Source organism: Homo sapiens, chromosome 5 (assembly GCF_000001405.40).
Source record: "Homo sapiens chromosome 5, GRCh38.p14 Primary Assembly".
In the NCBI taxonomy this organism is placed as follows: Eukaryota; Metazoa; Chordata; class Mammalia; order Primates; family Hominidae; genus Homo; species Homo sapiens.
This window is the reverse complement of record NC_000005.10, coordinates 15,548,773-15,564,971: the sequence shown is the minus strand read 5'-3', so window position 1 is coordinate 15,564,971 and position 16,199 is coordinate 15,548,773. Positions and strand designations below refer to the sequence as shown.

Below are 16,199 nucleotides of genomic sequence, written 5' to 3'. Positions count from 1 at the left end.
GACACAAATACATTGTAGCATTTTTACTAGCTGAAAGATTTAAAATGTTTTATTTATTTTAAAATAAAAACCACATAACTGTTAGTGGAGCTTTTAATATCAGTGCTGTGCATCATTAGCGCAGGAGCCAAAATAGCAAACCTCATAACATTTTGAATGTATTTCAGGCATATTGTGCACAAAATTGTATATCCATACACACAACTCTGGCTAAATGGATTTCTGTAGATTTAGTGTCGGAAACCTTCCTGAAAGTCATTTGGCATCCGGGATACTGGACCAGATTCAAACTAAAAGGAGAGAAGAAGAAACTGAAATCACAGAGCAGTTAAATAATAAATAAGATTTTCTTTCTTTACTGAACTGCAGTCCAAGGTTTTGTTGGTTTCTTTTTTCTTTTTTACTCCTTTTTCATTTCCTGCTATTGCTAATATTGGGCGTGTATATCTACTTAAAATATATTTACTCAATAAATCCCATGAACACTGCCATTTAGTTTTACTGTCTTGTTTGAGAAAATCTAGAATGGGGTTGACTAAACATATTGTATACACATACACACACACACACACACACACACACACACACACACAGATATTACTGACATCATAATTGTCCTATTCACTCAACTGATGGCAAAAATTATTTTTAAAAGCTGGAAACAAAATGTAAGAATGACTATACTAAAATGGCAAAAATCATAAAACCTGTTGTTTTGCATTAATATGACACCAATGTAAATTATGAATTTTTTAATAATGGAGGAGAAAGGGAAATAGACAGGAATCTCATAATAGACACTCCAGAGCCCTTTGATAGGAAGAATATTCTATCCTAATTTTTAATAAACTTAGCTGGTAACCAAATGGTTCAGTATATACCAGAAAGGACTGCAGAAAACACATTCACAAATCATCTGTTACATGTGTGAACCAGGAAGAATGGTTTCCAACGATAAAAGGGCTTCATAAGACATGAATTTATTTTAAATGCTGAGGCTGGACACTGAAAACCTGGTGAGACACTCATACACAAAGTGACTGGATATAAGCACCCATTTTTTTTTGAAATATTTAGAAAGTAAAGGCACAACTCTGGAGCTTGACATATTTCAACAGTATTTCAGCCCAGAGCTTCATTTTATGAGGCATCAAGCCTTCCCAACCCCAAATAATTCCCTAAGTACCTTAGATGCATTTTCTACAAGCAAGGAAGGATCAATTTTAAGTGCAACATTCTGCTTGCCAAAACATCAGCCCAACAGGAACTTTCAAAGGGGCAAGTTCAAGTGGAGACTTCTGACTCCATAGAGGAAGCTGGAAAGAGCAAACTCTTTAGGCAAGCATTAGGAGCCAGGAGCAGAGAAGGAAGGAGGGATGACATCCTCTAAAGAGAACTCGGCTTCCTTGAGGATTGTTTCAAACAGGAGAGTGAGAAATACTTGCAATAAACAGCTAGACTCTACCTCCAGTGTTCCTCTACTGTGAAAGACGCTTTAGCAGCCCCAGTGGTTGCAGCCAGCATGAACTCAACAAATGTCAGAAGGCATTTCCTAAGAGAACTTTCGCACAGAAAATAAAGGAAAGTCTGGTCTCTGCTTTCCATGCAAGGTCAACGTTTAAATAGCAGAGCGCAATTAACGTGATGAAGTAGGTATGGAGTGCCAGCCTCTATTCTCGTTTCTACAACAAAGTTCCACTTGCTCAAGCAAGTGTTAGCCCAACTTGGTGCCAAGCACTATACTAAGTACTGAAGATGCAAAGAGGAATAAATCATTATCACTGAAAAACAACTTGCCTTTTTCTAAGAAATTCAAAAATTCCACTCCTAGGAACATACACCTCAGAGATACTTCTGCACCTTTCCAGCAGAAGACATATGGAAGCATTGTTCATTATAGCCCCAGAAGGAAACAACTAAGTGTCTATCAGCAGAAGAAAAGATAAGTAAGTTCTGCTATATTTTCCCCAACCATCCTTTCTAATGTTGAAAGCCATCTCTGTATACCAGGCTCCCCTAATCCCTTTTCACTCTTCCTTTCTGCATAACAATTCATAATGGCTAATGTATGAATATTGTAATAATTTTGTTTAACATCTGTGTCTCCACCTGGAACTTAAGTCCCATTAAGGCAGGGATTTTCACCTTGTTTTATTTACTGCTGTGTCTGTCCTCAGAACCTAGAACAGTGTCTGGCACATGGAAAGAATGCAATAAATATGTGTGAAAGAAAGAGGGAAGGAGGAGGGGAAAGGGATGAATGGAGAGAGGAAGGGAGGAGCAGAAGAAGGGATGGAGAGAGAAACTGAGGGAGAGAGATATAGGGAGGGAAGCAGACAGACGAGCAAGAAAAGTAATGAAAATGAAAGAACTATAGCTACAGGCTGCAACATGGGCAATTCTCATGAATATAATGCCAACTAAAAAAAAGTGAGGTATAAAATAATACATCATGATATTGAGCACCTTTTCATATACCTGTTGGCCATTTTTCTGTTTTCTTTGGACAAATGTTTGTTTAGGTCACTTGCTGATTTTATAAACAGGTTTCTTTTTGCCATTGAGTTACATAAGTTCCTTATATATTTTGGATATCAATCCTTTATCTGATATAATGTCTGCAAATATTTTCTCCCATTCCATTGGCTGTCTTCTCCTTTTGTTGACTGCTTCCTTTGGTGTGCACAGCTTTTTAGTTTGATGTAACCTCACTGTTTATTCTTCCTTTTATTGCCTGTGCTTTGGGAGTCATATCCATGAAATCATTGCTGGAGCCAATATCAAGGAGATTTTCCCCTATATTTTATTCTAAGAATGTTACATTTTCACATCTTAAGTCTTTAATCCATTCTGAACTGACGTATGGTGTAAGATAAGGCCCAGATTCATTCTTTTGCAGGTTAATATCCAGTTTTCCCTGTACCATTTATTGAAGAGACTATTCTTATCTGCATTATCTTGGTGGCCTTATCCAAGATTAGTTGACTGGTTAGGCTTGGATTTATTTCTAGGCTCTATTATATTCCATTGGCTTATGTATGTGCTTTTATGCTAGTACCATACTGTTTTGATTACTTTTGCTTTGTAATATAATTTGAAATCAAGAAATGTGATGCCTCCAACTTTATTTTTCTTTCTCAAGGTTGTTTTGGCTACTTGGGATTTTTTGTGATCAGTCAAATGCAAATCAAAACTGCAATGAGATACCATCTCATGCCTGTTAGGATGGCTGTTATCAAAAAGGTATAAGTGTTGGTGAGGGTGAGAAGTAAAAGGAACCTCTGTACAGTCTTGATGGGAATACAGATTGGTGCAGCCACTGTAAAAAAAAATGCATGGTGATTCCTAAAGAAATTAGAAATAGGACTACTACATGACACAGTAGTCCCTGCTGGGTATATATCCAAAGGAAATGAAATCACCTCGTAGTAAAGATATTTGCATTCCTATGTTCATTGCAGCATTATTGACAATAGCCAAGATATGGAAACAACCTAAATATCCATCAGCGGATGAATGCATAAAGATGTGGTATGCATTTATACAACGGAATACGATTCAGCCTTAAAAAAGGAGATCCTGACATTTGCAACAACATGTATGAATCCAGAGGACATTATTTAAATGAAATAACCCATACAGAGAAAGACAAATACTGCATGATCTCACTTACATGTGGAATCTTAAAAATAATAATACATAGCAACACAGAGTAGAAACATGGTTAACAAAAGTGGAGGAAGAAGGAATAGATAGAGGTCAAGAGGTACAAAGATGCAGTTATAGCAGATGAAGTCTAGAGATCTAACCACAGTATGTGGACTACAGTTAATAATATTGTATTATATAAAGAAACTGCTAAGAAACTCTTTACTTCAGAACTCCTTAGATCTCTTAACTCTTTACTTTAAAACTCTTTGCTTTAGAAATTCTTTCCACAAAAAACGGAAACATGTGAGATGATGGATATGTTAATTTACTTGACCCTAGTAATGACTACAGTATGTATACACATATAATAAAACATCACATTGTACACCTTAAATATATATGAAATTCTTTGATAACCAAAAAGAAGACAGTATGAGTCAATTTGCATTAGACTCCAAACCTGCAACATTAATATTATAATACATATGTAAGTAGCAAAACTGGAATGAGCACAACAAAATCATGATGGAGACATCCCAGCGGGGACAATGAAATTGCAGAAGAACAGAGGGAAGTTGAAAGAGACTGGTAATATGAAATTGCAGAAGAACAGAGGGAAGTTGAAAGAGACTGCTAACATTCCATTCTTTAAGCTGGGTCACGGGCATACAGTTTTGCATTTTATTATTATTGCTCATACCTGACATGTGTAATAAACATGCTTCTGAATTTCATAATTCACTTAAGGAGTCCATTATCTGGTCGGGAAGTTGCACCTGAAAAGAGATTAATTCAGCACCTAGGAAAGAACTCTGAGACAGAGACACATGCATGAGCTGTTGGGAGCCCAGGAGGCTGGTCAATTTGGAACCATTTGTAGTTCTGAATGCTTCCTCCTTTTTGCAGTGGTTGAGGGAACTGGTTTCCAAGCATCACTTGATTTATGTATTTTTTAACTTATGGCTCACTGGCTACTGTCAATTATCAAGATAAGCATTTTAACTAACTATTATAGCATTTTTAAAAGAAATCTCACCCTACTTAAGCAGAATCAGTAAGGTCAAGAGGAATCAGCACAGACAAGAAGAAATATTAAGTATTATTAAGGTCATTTGGGTAGATGCTATTAAGGATCAACTGCCTATAACTGTATGGATCAATCTGTTCTCAAAGTTTGTTTACTGCATGTTCATTCATTATGCATTCACAAAGTATTACTGAGTAAAAACAATATGCAAGATATTGTCTAGGTCCAAGGGAAGGTACAAATATTTGTAAGATGCCTTCAATGTGCTTATAATGCTAGTGTTGAGGCATGTACCTAACAATCATGCCGTAAGTGTAGGTGCCAGGGATACCTTCAAACAATGAAAGTGATTGCGTGTAACTGGATTCTGCATGAATTCACAAGTAGAGATAGTTCATTCCCAAGCAAAGTAAAAAGAAACACATAAAACTTAATGTGCGTTGCTAAATGGTGCCTTGCATTACACTATTCAGTACTGATTCTGACTCTTAACATCAATGCGTAATCAATCATGCCTCCAGGCGTTTTATTGCCAAAGCAATTACACACATGCTACAAATCTTTGCCCTAACTCCACTAATCTTTGTCTTCTTTTTTGTTTGTTTTACAGATGTTTTGCTTTATCAAATATTAGGTATATTCTCACCTATTAGGAACTTGGCAAAATAACTTTTTTTGTCCCTTGTTCATCGAACATGTGGAAAACCAGTCCACAGAATAGTGAAAATGGTCTTCTATAAGAGATTTTAGGATCGTTTTTAGAGAATAATACTCGGGGCAAGTCACGTCGGTTCTCTGATGCCATTTCTCCATTTATAAATTTAAATGTAATATAAGGAAATTATACTACACGTTCAGGGACCTTTTTAAACAAAACACACACTCACACAGATACATGTGCACATCCATAAATATGCACACAGTTGTGAGATTCTATCACATTATTATTTTTCATTGTGAGCTCCATGACTCTTAGGCTTCAAATGGTTATGTTATCTGAATGGGACCATAACTCTTTCACAATCTGACTTTAGATTAAACTGAATGGAATTGGTTGAAGAGTTTCCAGTTATTTCAGACATGTGTCTCCTCTCGACAGTCTCTAGAAAATGCTTCATGTCTTCCTGATATGTCCTTAGTTTCCATCTTTTATGTTCCTGTGCATTCTTCTCCCCAAAATGCAACTTGCTTCTTATACAGTGTCTAAACAAACAAACATACTACTACTGTTAGCAGTAATAATGAATGGTTCATATTGATTGTGTACTTACTCTCTGCCAGGCACCGTCTTTGGTACATTACTTGTATTAATTCATTTGATTCCTGTCATGACCCACGACGAGTTAAGTACCTTGTGGAGATCACATGGCTCCCACAGAAAGCACCCGGGATTTGACACTAACAGCCCAGCTACAGAGTGCATGCTCCTGGCTTACCATGACAACTGCCAGAACTCTGGATGCTTTCATGGGCACACACAAATTTGATTCATGTATGAGACTCCATAGAATAGACAAGCAACCTCAGTATGAGAGGAGAAAATAATTCTCTATAAAATGAATCTTACTTGGACACTATACAATGTGGGTTTAATTTCAAATACCCAAAAGGCTTCATATGTGGCCTCACCTACAAGAAGTTGCCATTGCTTGGATTTTGAAGCGCAGCTCCAGTTTATTTAGGAACCTCAGGTTTATTTTTGAATCTAGAGGTAGAGAACTGCCTATTTCCAAAGTAAATCCCTTGGGAACAGTGAGCTGGGTACTCAGAAACCATATATGCCATTTAGAGTCAAATGTGGCCTGGCACCTGTGTGATTCCTTTGGCTGGCTCCCCTTGGCCCAGCAGCAATAAATGACAGGCATGGGCCAGAATCCATGCCCTGTGCTCTAAGGTTTGAAAGAGAAATTGGGCTTGAGTGATGATTCTTTCTGTGTTAAAGAAAAGGGAAGTGAAGATTAATCCTCTTGGAAAGCAAAGGAAAAATCAACCTAATCCTCTCTGGCTCCAAAGGAGAACAGCTAAGGCCCTGCAAACCGTGCATGGTGCTGTTAATAAGATCATCACTGAGTAAAATATTCCACTGTGATTTCTTTTCCTTTGTATTTCTTTCTTTTTAAAAATTTTGGTAAAATATATATAACAAAACATGTGATTCTAGCCATTTTTATGTGTAGAATCCAGTGGTATTCATTACATTCACAAAATTATGCAAGATCACCACCATTTCCAAAATTTGCCGTCACCCCAAACAGAAGCTCTATATCCGTAAACCAATAACTTTCCTTCTCCCCCTCCACTTAGCCCCTGGCAACTTGGATCTACTTTTTGTCTCTATGAATTTGCCTATTTTAGGTAATTCCTATAAGTGAAATCACACAATTTGTGTCACATTAAGATTTTTATGATAATCTATTCATAGCACAATTAAATACAAGCACTTTTCACCAGGTGGTCAGAGAGCAGTGAGAACTGAGGAGGACTCCAGTTCTCTCCCACTGCCTGACCACCAGGAAGTCATCTCACCCCTCAGGGGTCCCTGGGTTTCCATTGATCCAACAGGAAGAGCAATCCCAAGAGCCTGCTCCACTAGGCTGAAATACAAGGCTCTCTGGCAACTTTCCTTCATTTATCTCTGCAGTCTTCAGGCCTCCTTACCCTTCACGAAGCAGGCTAAACAACTCTTATGTCCAAAGCACTAATGGAGCAGCTAATATCAAGTAAAATAAGGCTCTTTTTTATGAAACAGTGTAATGGGGTCATTGTAACATCTTCATTAGCCTTACACATCTTACTTTTAGAAGCCTTATGCCATAGGATATCACATTAAAATGATGCACGGCTCACTTTAAATATAATTATATACAAATGTTACTCCATGATGAGTTAAGGATACAGTTTGGAGACTCTTAATTAAACATTTATTAATTATAATATTACAGTCTCACTTCTGTATTTAACATTTTTGTAGGGCTTAGCAGCAAGGCCAATAAAGCCTAATAAACACAAGGTCCTTGTGCCTGAATGTATTTCAGGTTGAATTAACAATCTGGCTCCGCCGGGCGCAGTGGCTCACGCCTGTAATCCCAGCACTTTGAGAGGCCAAGGCTGGGGGATCACGAGGTCAAGAGATGGAGACCATCCTGGCTAACATGGTGAAACCCCGTCTCTACTAAAAATACAAAAAAATTAGCCAGGCGTGGTGGTGGACACCTGTAGTCCCAGCTACTGGGGAGGCTGAGACAGGAGAATGGCGTGAACCCAGGAAGCGGAGCTTGCAGTGAGCCGAGATCGCGCCACCGCACTCCAGCCTGGGAGACAGAGCAAGACTCCTTCAAAAAAAACCACAATCTGGCTTCTTTAGTCACTTCTCACCTTGATGATTGGTTCTGGCTTTAAAACACCACTTAAACTCTAGCTCTAAACAAAAAAGATAGTGGCTGTTCCTTGATATCATCAAGATCAGAGAAAGTTCCAAAACCAGGTTAATAAATATACCTTACTTCCTTTTTTATTTGCCACAGTCAAAAAACGCCAATATTCTCAGCTGATGATTTATTGAGAGATTGGCACAGTCATGCAAATAGAAGATGAAGAGGAGTCTAAAAATTGATTGAATTAAATATAAAGTATTAATTCTGTTCTGAGTACTCCCATATATGTATGTTATGACAGTAGTAAATACAGCATTAATTATCCTTTCTGTTCTGCTATTTGGGATTCATCCCAAACCTCGTGTTATGGTTAATTCTATGGTCAACTTGACTGGACCACGGGACGCCCAGATAACTGGTAAAACTTTATTTCTGGGCATGTCTGTGAGGGTGTTCCTGGAAAAGATCAGCATTTGAATTGGTGACTGAGTAAAGCAGATGACCCTCCTCATGTGGGTGGGTGCCATCCAACTGGGGGAGGGCCTGAAATGAACAAAAGGCAGAAGACTGAATTGAATTCTCACTCTATGCCTGGCTGCTTGGGCTCAGACACACGTCTTCTCCTGCCCTTGGACTGGGAGTTACACCATTAGGACTCCTGGTTCTCAGGCCTTTGACTTACACGGCCAGCTTTCCGGGGCCTCCAACTCCCAGATGGCAGACTGTGAGACTTCCCAGCCTCCACAGTCACATAAGCCAATACCTCAGAGTAAAGCTCCTTCTATATGTCAATTGATGGATCAATATAGATAGATAGATAGGTAGATAGATAGATGATAGATAATAAACAGATGAAGATAATGATAGATAATAGATGATAAGTAGATGATAGACTGATAGATGATAGATAGATAGATAGATAGATAGATAGATAGATAGATAGATGATAGACAGATGACAGATAGATGACAGATAGATAGATGGATCCTACTGGTTGTTTCTCTGGAGAACCCTGACTAAAATGCCTAGAGATTATATCAAGTATGAAGGAATCTCCCTTTCTGTGGGCACTGCTGTGTCTATCTTTCATCTATCACCTATCTATCTATCTATCTATCTATCTATCTATCTATCTCATCTACCCTTCTCCACTAACCAATCCCCAATTTTGTCAGGTACCAGAAGATAGCTCTTATCTTAAGACTGTGACAGACCTAACCAGAGGACTGCAATGGGACAAAGGAGAATGGAGGTGCAGGGTTTGGGGAACAATATTTTCTTCTTGAAAAAAAGGGTATAAAATTTCCTTTCCTGACTCTCTCCTGAACACAATTGTGTGACAGCAACTGTGTCTAAGGGGCAAAGCCAAGAAAATCATGGAGGGACATACACCTTCAGCCAGGCAACAACTGTGCTGCCACTGCCCAACCCAGGATGCCGGGTAAGGTCCCCAGAAAAGCCCCACTGTGTTAAAGACTGCGAGCCCAACTACGGCTTGTAACCAAAGTGATCCCACCTGTTCCACAGTTACTGGCTTTGATGCCTGCTTCCCACACACCCACACTATTAGACAGCTGTGCTTTTGCTGTATGGCCAGGCCTACAACACAGGCCTTTGATTTCTAAGAAACATGAGAGGCCTCTGTACCGGAAGTAAGAAACTGGTATTTTTCCTTTAACTGGATGTTCTGTGGGGGGTGTGTGTGTCTGTCTGTCTGTCTGTGTGTCTGTGCGTGCACACATGTGTGAGTTTGTGTGTTTAACTTTCAGAAGAACCAGTGGAAAGTTTATTTACTATAAGTTAAATTTGGATGAATGGAAAACATTCTGTTGTCAATATTCCAGAGTCTGACACCCTCACAAGCAAGAATACAGGAGAATATATTTTGAAATGCCTATGCTGTCCAATTGCTTTGAGTCATATTTAAGCTAAAACAATACTCATTTTCACCAAGGACTTACATATTTCACAGCGTGACTCTGACTTTTTCTCTAAATGTGCTTTACTGACTCAACTTCCCCTTTAAGAACACCTGCTAGGCACCAGATACTTTTACATGCATTTGTTCATATTCCTCTGTATCACCTTCCTACAGATGAGTGAAAGGGGACGTTATGATGTCAAACATCTTCCCCATGACAGTCTCACTCAGATCACAATTAGAATCTGATCCCAGGAATTCTAACCCAGTGCTCTTCCACCTTGAATATGCAGATGGATCAGCTGGAGGTCTGGTAGAAATGCTGATTCTGACCCACCTGTTCTCAGGTGGGGCCTGAGGCTCTCCCTTTGTAAAGAACTCTCAGGCAAGGCTGACACTTTATTTGCAACTACAATGTTTAGAGTTAGCCAAATTTTTTCAGCAAATTATCTTTCTTTTATTCTGGGTTTTCTCATCTGACAAAAGGGATATAAAAACAGAAAAGTACCTACACTTCACTGGGCTGTTTTGAGGTCTAATGACAGAAAGCATTTAAATACATTTAGAATGACTGGCAAATAAGGAGTGTTTACAGTTGGTAGTTACGACTGTTCTAAATCGAAGCACAAGTTTTACTGGGGACTTCAATGTTCACCAGTGAATTAGACAGGGATCTGCTTGAATTGGGGAGATATAGAGTGAGGAAGGATATAAAGACCATGGACTTCCCATTCCAGCTCTGCCACCTAAGAACCCCATGACCTTGAGACAGAATATGCCTCAGGGATGGCGGCTCACCCACGCCTACCACCTCAACAAATCCATTCTCAAGATGGGAACCAGGAGGCTCTGGCCCCCTCAGGGCAGACTGGATATGGAGTGGGTCTGGGATGGACACCTAATAGGCAGAAATGATTCAGAGGCAATATCAAGCCAATTCTCTCTCTCCCCCAGGAATTGAATCAGACGATAACTTTTCTGCACTTTTCCTGGTGACTCTTGGATCAGTGGCTCCTTTGAAAGTAATTGGGCTTTAAGGCCATTTCAACCAAGCAGAATTGTGAAGACAAACATAAAGAAACAAAGATGAGAGTCCCACCCACTGAGGAAGAGAAAGAGCTGAAGAACAGGAGCAGAGGGAAAGGACAGAAAGAAACCCACTAAGCCTCCCTCCAGGTGACTGAGAGATTTTTCGTCTTGGTTCAAGTCCTTTGTAAGGCTTAGCTATAATTCCTACCCTTGCATTCTGCATAATTACCCTGTGTACCTTTTTTTTTCCTTTGCTTTGGATTTTTTATATTTACAACTAAACAATGCATGTCTAAGAAACCTGAGTGTTAAGTGAACTTCTTTAAGCCTCAGCTTGCTCATCTGTAAAACAGAGATTTATTCATTTGTTAATGAAGACCTACTGAGTGCCTGCTATTTATGAAGCACTAGCTAGATAGTAGGAAAACACTGGTTAGAAATTCCCGATAGTATCCCTACCTTCATGGAGCTTCTGGTCGAGTAGAAGATATAAGCCTTAATGAATAAATTAATCCTAAGAATAAATGTAAAATTACAACTTGGGTAAGCAACTGGAGAAGTTGAAGATACAATACGCACATATTCAAGAGGTAATGACTTAACATTAAATTTAAGAGGGAATCTAAGTAGAGGCCAACAAGGTAAAGAGGGAAGAGAAAAAGCATTCTCGACAAAGAGCAGATCATTTGCAAAGACTCCTAGGAGAGAAGGCATATGGTAAATAAGACAAGTGGGCCAGGGTGTTGCAGAGAGAAGGGAAACCACGATAGGCAATGAAGCTGGACAAGAGGGCTGGGGTCCAAATGAGCAGGGCTATGTGGGTCAGGCTTGATTATTTTGTTTTTTGGGGGTTTTTGTTTGGTTGGGTTTTTTTTTGTTTTTTTTTTTTGACATGGAGTCTTACTCTGTCGCCAGGCTGGAGTGCAGTGGCACGATCTTGGCTCACTGCAACCTCCACCTCCAGGGTTCTAGCGATTCTCCTGCCTCAGCCTCCTGAGTAGCTGGGACTATAGGTGCGTGCCATCACGCCTGGCTAATTTTTGTATTTTTAGTAGAGATAAGGTTTCACCATGTTGGCCAGGATGGTCTCCATCTCTTGACCTCGTGATCTTCCCACCTCAGCCTCCCAAAGTGCTGGGATTATAGGCGTGAGCCATCGTACCTGGCCAGGATTGATTGTTTTGATCATTATGGTACTTATCCTAAGATCGGTGATGAGTTTTAAATAAAAAGACGTCACAGTCAGATCTGCGTTTGAAAATATCATGCCTGCCACAGTGTGGAAAATGAACTGTGGGAGGCAAGAGTGGAGATGGGTGGATCAGGCAGAAGGTGGCTGCAATAGCCCAGGGCCTGAAGGCCAGATACAGAGGAGAAAAATATGAGTCTGATTTAGGATGTACTGAGTGAGTTGTCTCTGAAAGGGCCAGGATGAGACTGTCTCTGAAATGGCCAGGATGAGACTGATATCTTGAGTATATGAGGATAAAACCCATTGGGGAAATCTAGGCCATGGATACAAATGTGTGAGTCAATGAGACCAATTTGTAGCCTTCCTGAAAGACATGAGAACAGGTGAGTTTGTCAAGGGAGAGATGATGGCATGAGAAGAAAAGGGTGTCCAGTGGTCAGTGACTGGCACAGAGGAGTATGAGCCACAAGACAGGCAGAGGCAAGACCAGGAGACTGTTGTGTCATGGACCAGAGGATAAAAGTATTTCTACCAGGACAGGAAGAAGTGGCCAATGGCATTCATCAAATGAGATGATAAATGATGAAATTAAACTGAATATCTGACAAAACTCCTCTAAGACAATGTATAGCATAGTGTAGTATAGCCTGAAAAAATGGTGATTACTGTTATTAATGGCTCACAAACTTTTGTGAACATCAAACTAAACAATCTGTATGTCAGAGTGCCTGAAAAGAAGACCTTCAACAAATGTAAGTAGTAATCATTCTTCCCTTTGGAAAACGGGATGCATTGTTTCATGTTTATAAATTCCTCCAAAACCATGAAATACACAAGACCATATAAGAACAAGACGACAGAGGAGAATGGAAGGAAAGGGACTCTTTACAAGAAAGAAGGGTGTTTCCTAGAGACATAAGTCAAGAGTAAATTGGACTTGCGAGCTTCTCCCAGTGTCAGCCTATGACAGAAGCAGAGATAGATCAAAAGCACTGTATCCACACACATATTCAGAAACAGATATACACAAAAATGTAACACCACTTCCAGATACAGAAAAAATGAAGAGGCATAAAATGGATTTTTTGGAAAAAATTCCTTAATATGTTTTATAAATTTCTAAAGGTTTATCCCATATCAAAAACAGTTAAAAGTATTTAAATAAATGAATAAAGATCCACAGGAGTCCCAACCAGGAGTGTCCATCTCCATGCTGCCATGAAGGCACACTGCGAGACGCCAGGGACTGGTTTCCTCTTGGGCCTGCTAACAATCCCTTGCAAGTCTGAAAGAGGAAAATTCTTGCTCTTGATAATATCCCACATAATAAATACACTACAGACCCCCAGTGTGACTACCAGTTGGATAATTATGCAGAAATAATGCAGTGTTCCAATTCTTTGTAGAAAGAACTTTGCACAGAACAGAGGCTTTCTGCCTTGAAAGGGGAACTATTCAAACGTTGCTGCCTAACAGCTAAAGTAAAGGAGTTCCATGGCAACGTAGATGCTCCGGGTCAAGTACACGTTCTGAGAAAGCAAGGGACATGTAAAGAACACAAACCCATGGGCACAAACCAACAGGGGCCTACACAGGCAGTGATTTCTCTAATAAAGCCCTTGTCATGTTGTAACATGACAATTCTGTGGCAGGGCTGAGTACAACACAAACAATGAGGGGCAAAAGGAAGGATCTTCCTAATAGGAGGTTTTTTGCCTCATTCGCCCAATCCAAAAAAAGTGGATTTTCATTTACTTCAAATTGGCAAAAAATAATAACTCCCACCCTGTTTTGCATGGCCAAAAGCCCAGATTTAGATTTCAACATTTGTTCATATGCTACTGTTTAAGTCAAGTCTTGAACTGTTTCAGCTGCTCCAAAGGGGAGGTCAGAAATAAGGCGAGTGGGCAGGCCCATGGCCCAGTGGAGTCAGGACTCACACTGGAGTCAGGATCAAGTGAGGGATGAGATGACAGAGGTCTCATTACCTTTGGGCAGTCCCGGAATGAGCAAGGCATTTTCAGCCAAGAGTTTGGGAGAACTTGGGTTGCCACAAAGAGATCTGAACTTGTTTTAACTTGTTAAGTCAGTTTTAGAAATACAAAGGTTTAAAGCAGTTTGATGGCTATGTAAATAAGGAAGTTTGCAAAGAACCTGGGTCTACCTCTGGCTATTCAGCAGCTTGGCAAGAGATGACCCGAGTTCTCAGAGTCCCCATCTTTGCATCTGTGGAAGAAAAGAAGATGACACAGCCTGCAGTTCTCCTTGGCTCTTTTCAGGCCTAAGTTTTGGGTGCCTCAATAGCACCTTCCCAACAGCGCCTTCCAGAAGTCTATCCTTTGGCCTATTTTTATTTGGCAACAATCAAAATCTCCATGGTTCCTTGTCACCCATCACACCATCTCAGCTACCAATCACACCATCTCAGCTACCTGAGCCTGTTAAATATGTCCCAGAAGCCATTTGTGACATGATTTTCATTCCAGCCACCAGCTATCTCCCAACAGCTTAGTGATATAAATGAGTTTTCCAAGCCTCCTTCAAGGGAAAATAAAAATACTTAAAGTTGCTTTCGAAAAGTCCTGCCAAGTTTCTAGGCTTACATTCTTCAAGGATATTTTTATTTAGTGCACCCCTGAGAGGTGGAAAGAAAAGTGTAACCTGGGAGAATGTTAGTATTTCAACATAGTTAGCCAATATTCTCTAGCACAAGAGGTCTTCAGCAACATACTATCTAAAGCCTTTTTGTACAGAAGTTTCTGCTGGGCTCAGGTTTCTACCCAAATCTCTGCAGGTACCTTGCATGCAGCAGTACCATGACTGCCTGCAGGCCTACGTTTCTAAGCATCCCCTTCCACCCACCTTGGCTATCCAGTTTCTGTCCCCTGCACCCCAACTGCAATGGCCAGATTTCTAGTTTCAAAAGGTTCTCCATAGGGACCACCCTAGCATCTAACAGAAATGGAGGCAATATGCAGGGTGGTTAGAGTGGCATCATGCAAAAACTTTTTGAAAGAGCCAGAAAGCATTTTAGTCTTTGTGGGCCTGGAGTCAGAATCAAGGATATTATGTAGCTACTTATATAACAAGAGAGAAAACAAGTTCTTACATTTGTATTCATAAAATTCAAATACAATAATAATTGACTACAATTGCTTGTAATTACAAGTTGACTAATGAGAGATGTGAATATTTTTTGGTGAGGGGATAACATTTTCCTTAATGGAGATTCAAAATTAGTGTTTCCTCTCATCAATAGGATTTTAATGTTCATGCAAAGAAACATTTTTAGCTCCCTGGCCTTACAAAGAAAGGCAAGGGGCAGGATTTGGCCCACGTGATGTAATTTACTAAATCAAGGTGGTTTCAGTCACAAGCTTGAGATTCTGGCTATGCTTGGGTTGATGCTAGTGCTACAACTCATCTGCCAGCTTCTGACTTCACTTCTCCAAGATATACTTTTCTCCTCTTTCCAAAGAGGCCAACTGTACGTGTTCCACAAATGAATGACCAACATTTGTTGAACTCCTACTTTGTGATGGGAATTATTCTATGCTATGTGTAGAATATGCTATGCCTCATGTATTAGCTTGTTTAGTGATGTGAAAGGAAATTAAATCTTAAATCTAAATTAAACCAAAGGGAAAATTCAAGCTTGGAACAGGGTCACATAAACCTGCCTCCCCTTTTTGGTTCCTAAATAACATGGCTACAAGATGAAACGCTACAAGCCTCCCCCATATTTTGCCCACAAAGAAATTCCTAGTGACCTGGCAAGATCTTTACCCTAAGGTGTTTCTGCTTTCACCCTAAGATTTCACCATGGCAATGTAAATTGATAGCTTATCTTTACAGGTGCAGTCACCCCCGTGCCCACCAAACACAAATGCATATCCAGTTGTTCCCCTATCCTGTTTCCTCTGTTATCTTATGTAAAAATGTAGATTCCCTGCATTTTTCCTCTGCTCCATTTGAGCCAAACAAATAAATGAATATTTTTCCCTA

The 16,199-nt window shown here is 39.8% G+C and overlaps 1 protein-coding gene across 2 annotated transcripts in view; it reads right to left on the bottom strand.

The window, feature by feature from the left end:
* The window catches only part of FBXL7 (F-box and leucine rich repeat protein 7), a 439,614-nt gene that overhangs the window by 374,822 nt on the left and 48,593 nt on the right, over positions 1 to 16,199 (bottom strand). The gene's annotated exons all lie outside the window — the stretch shown is intronic.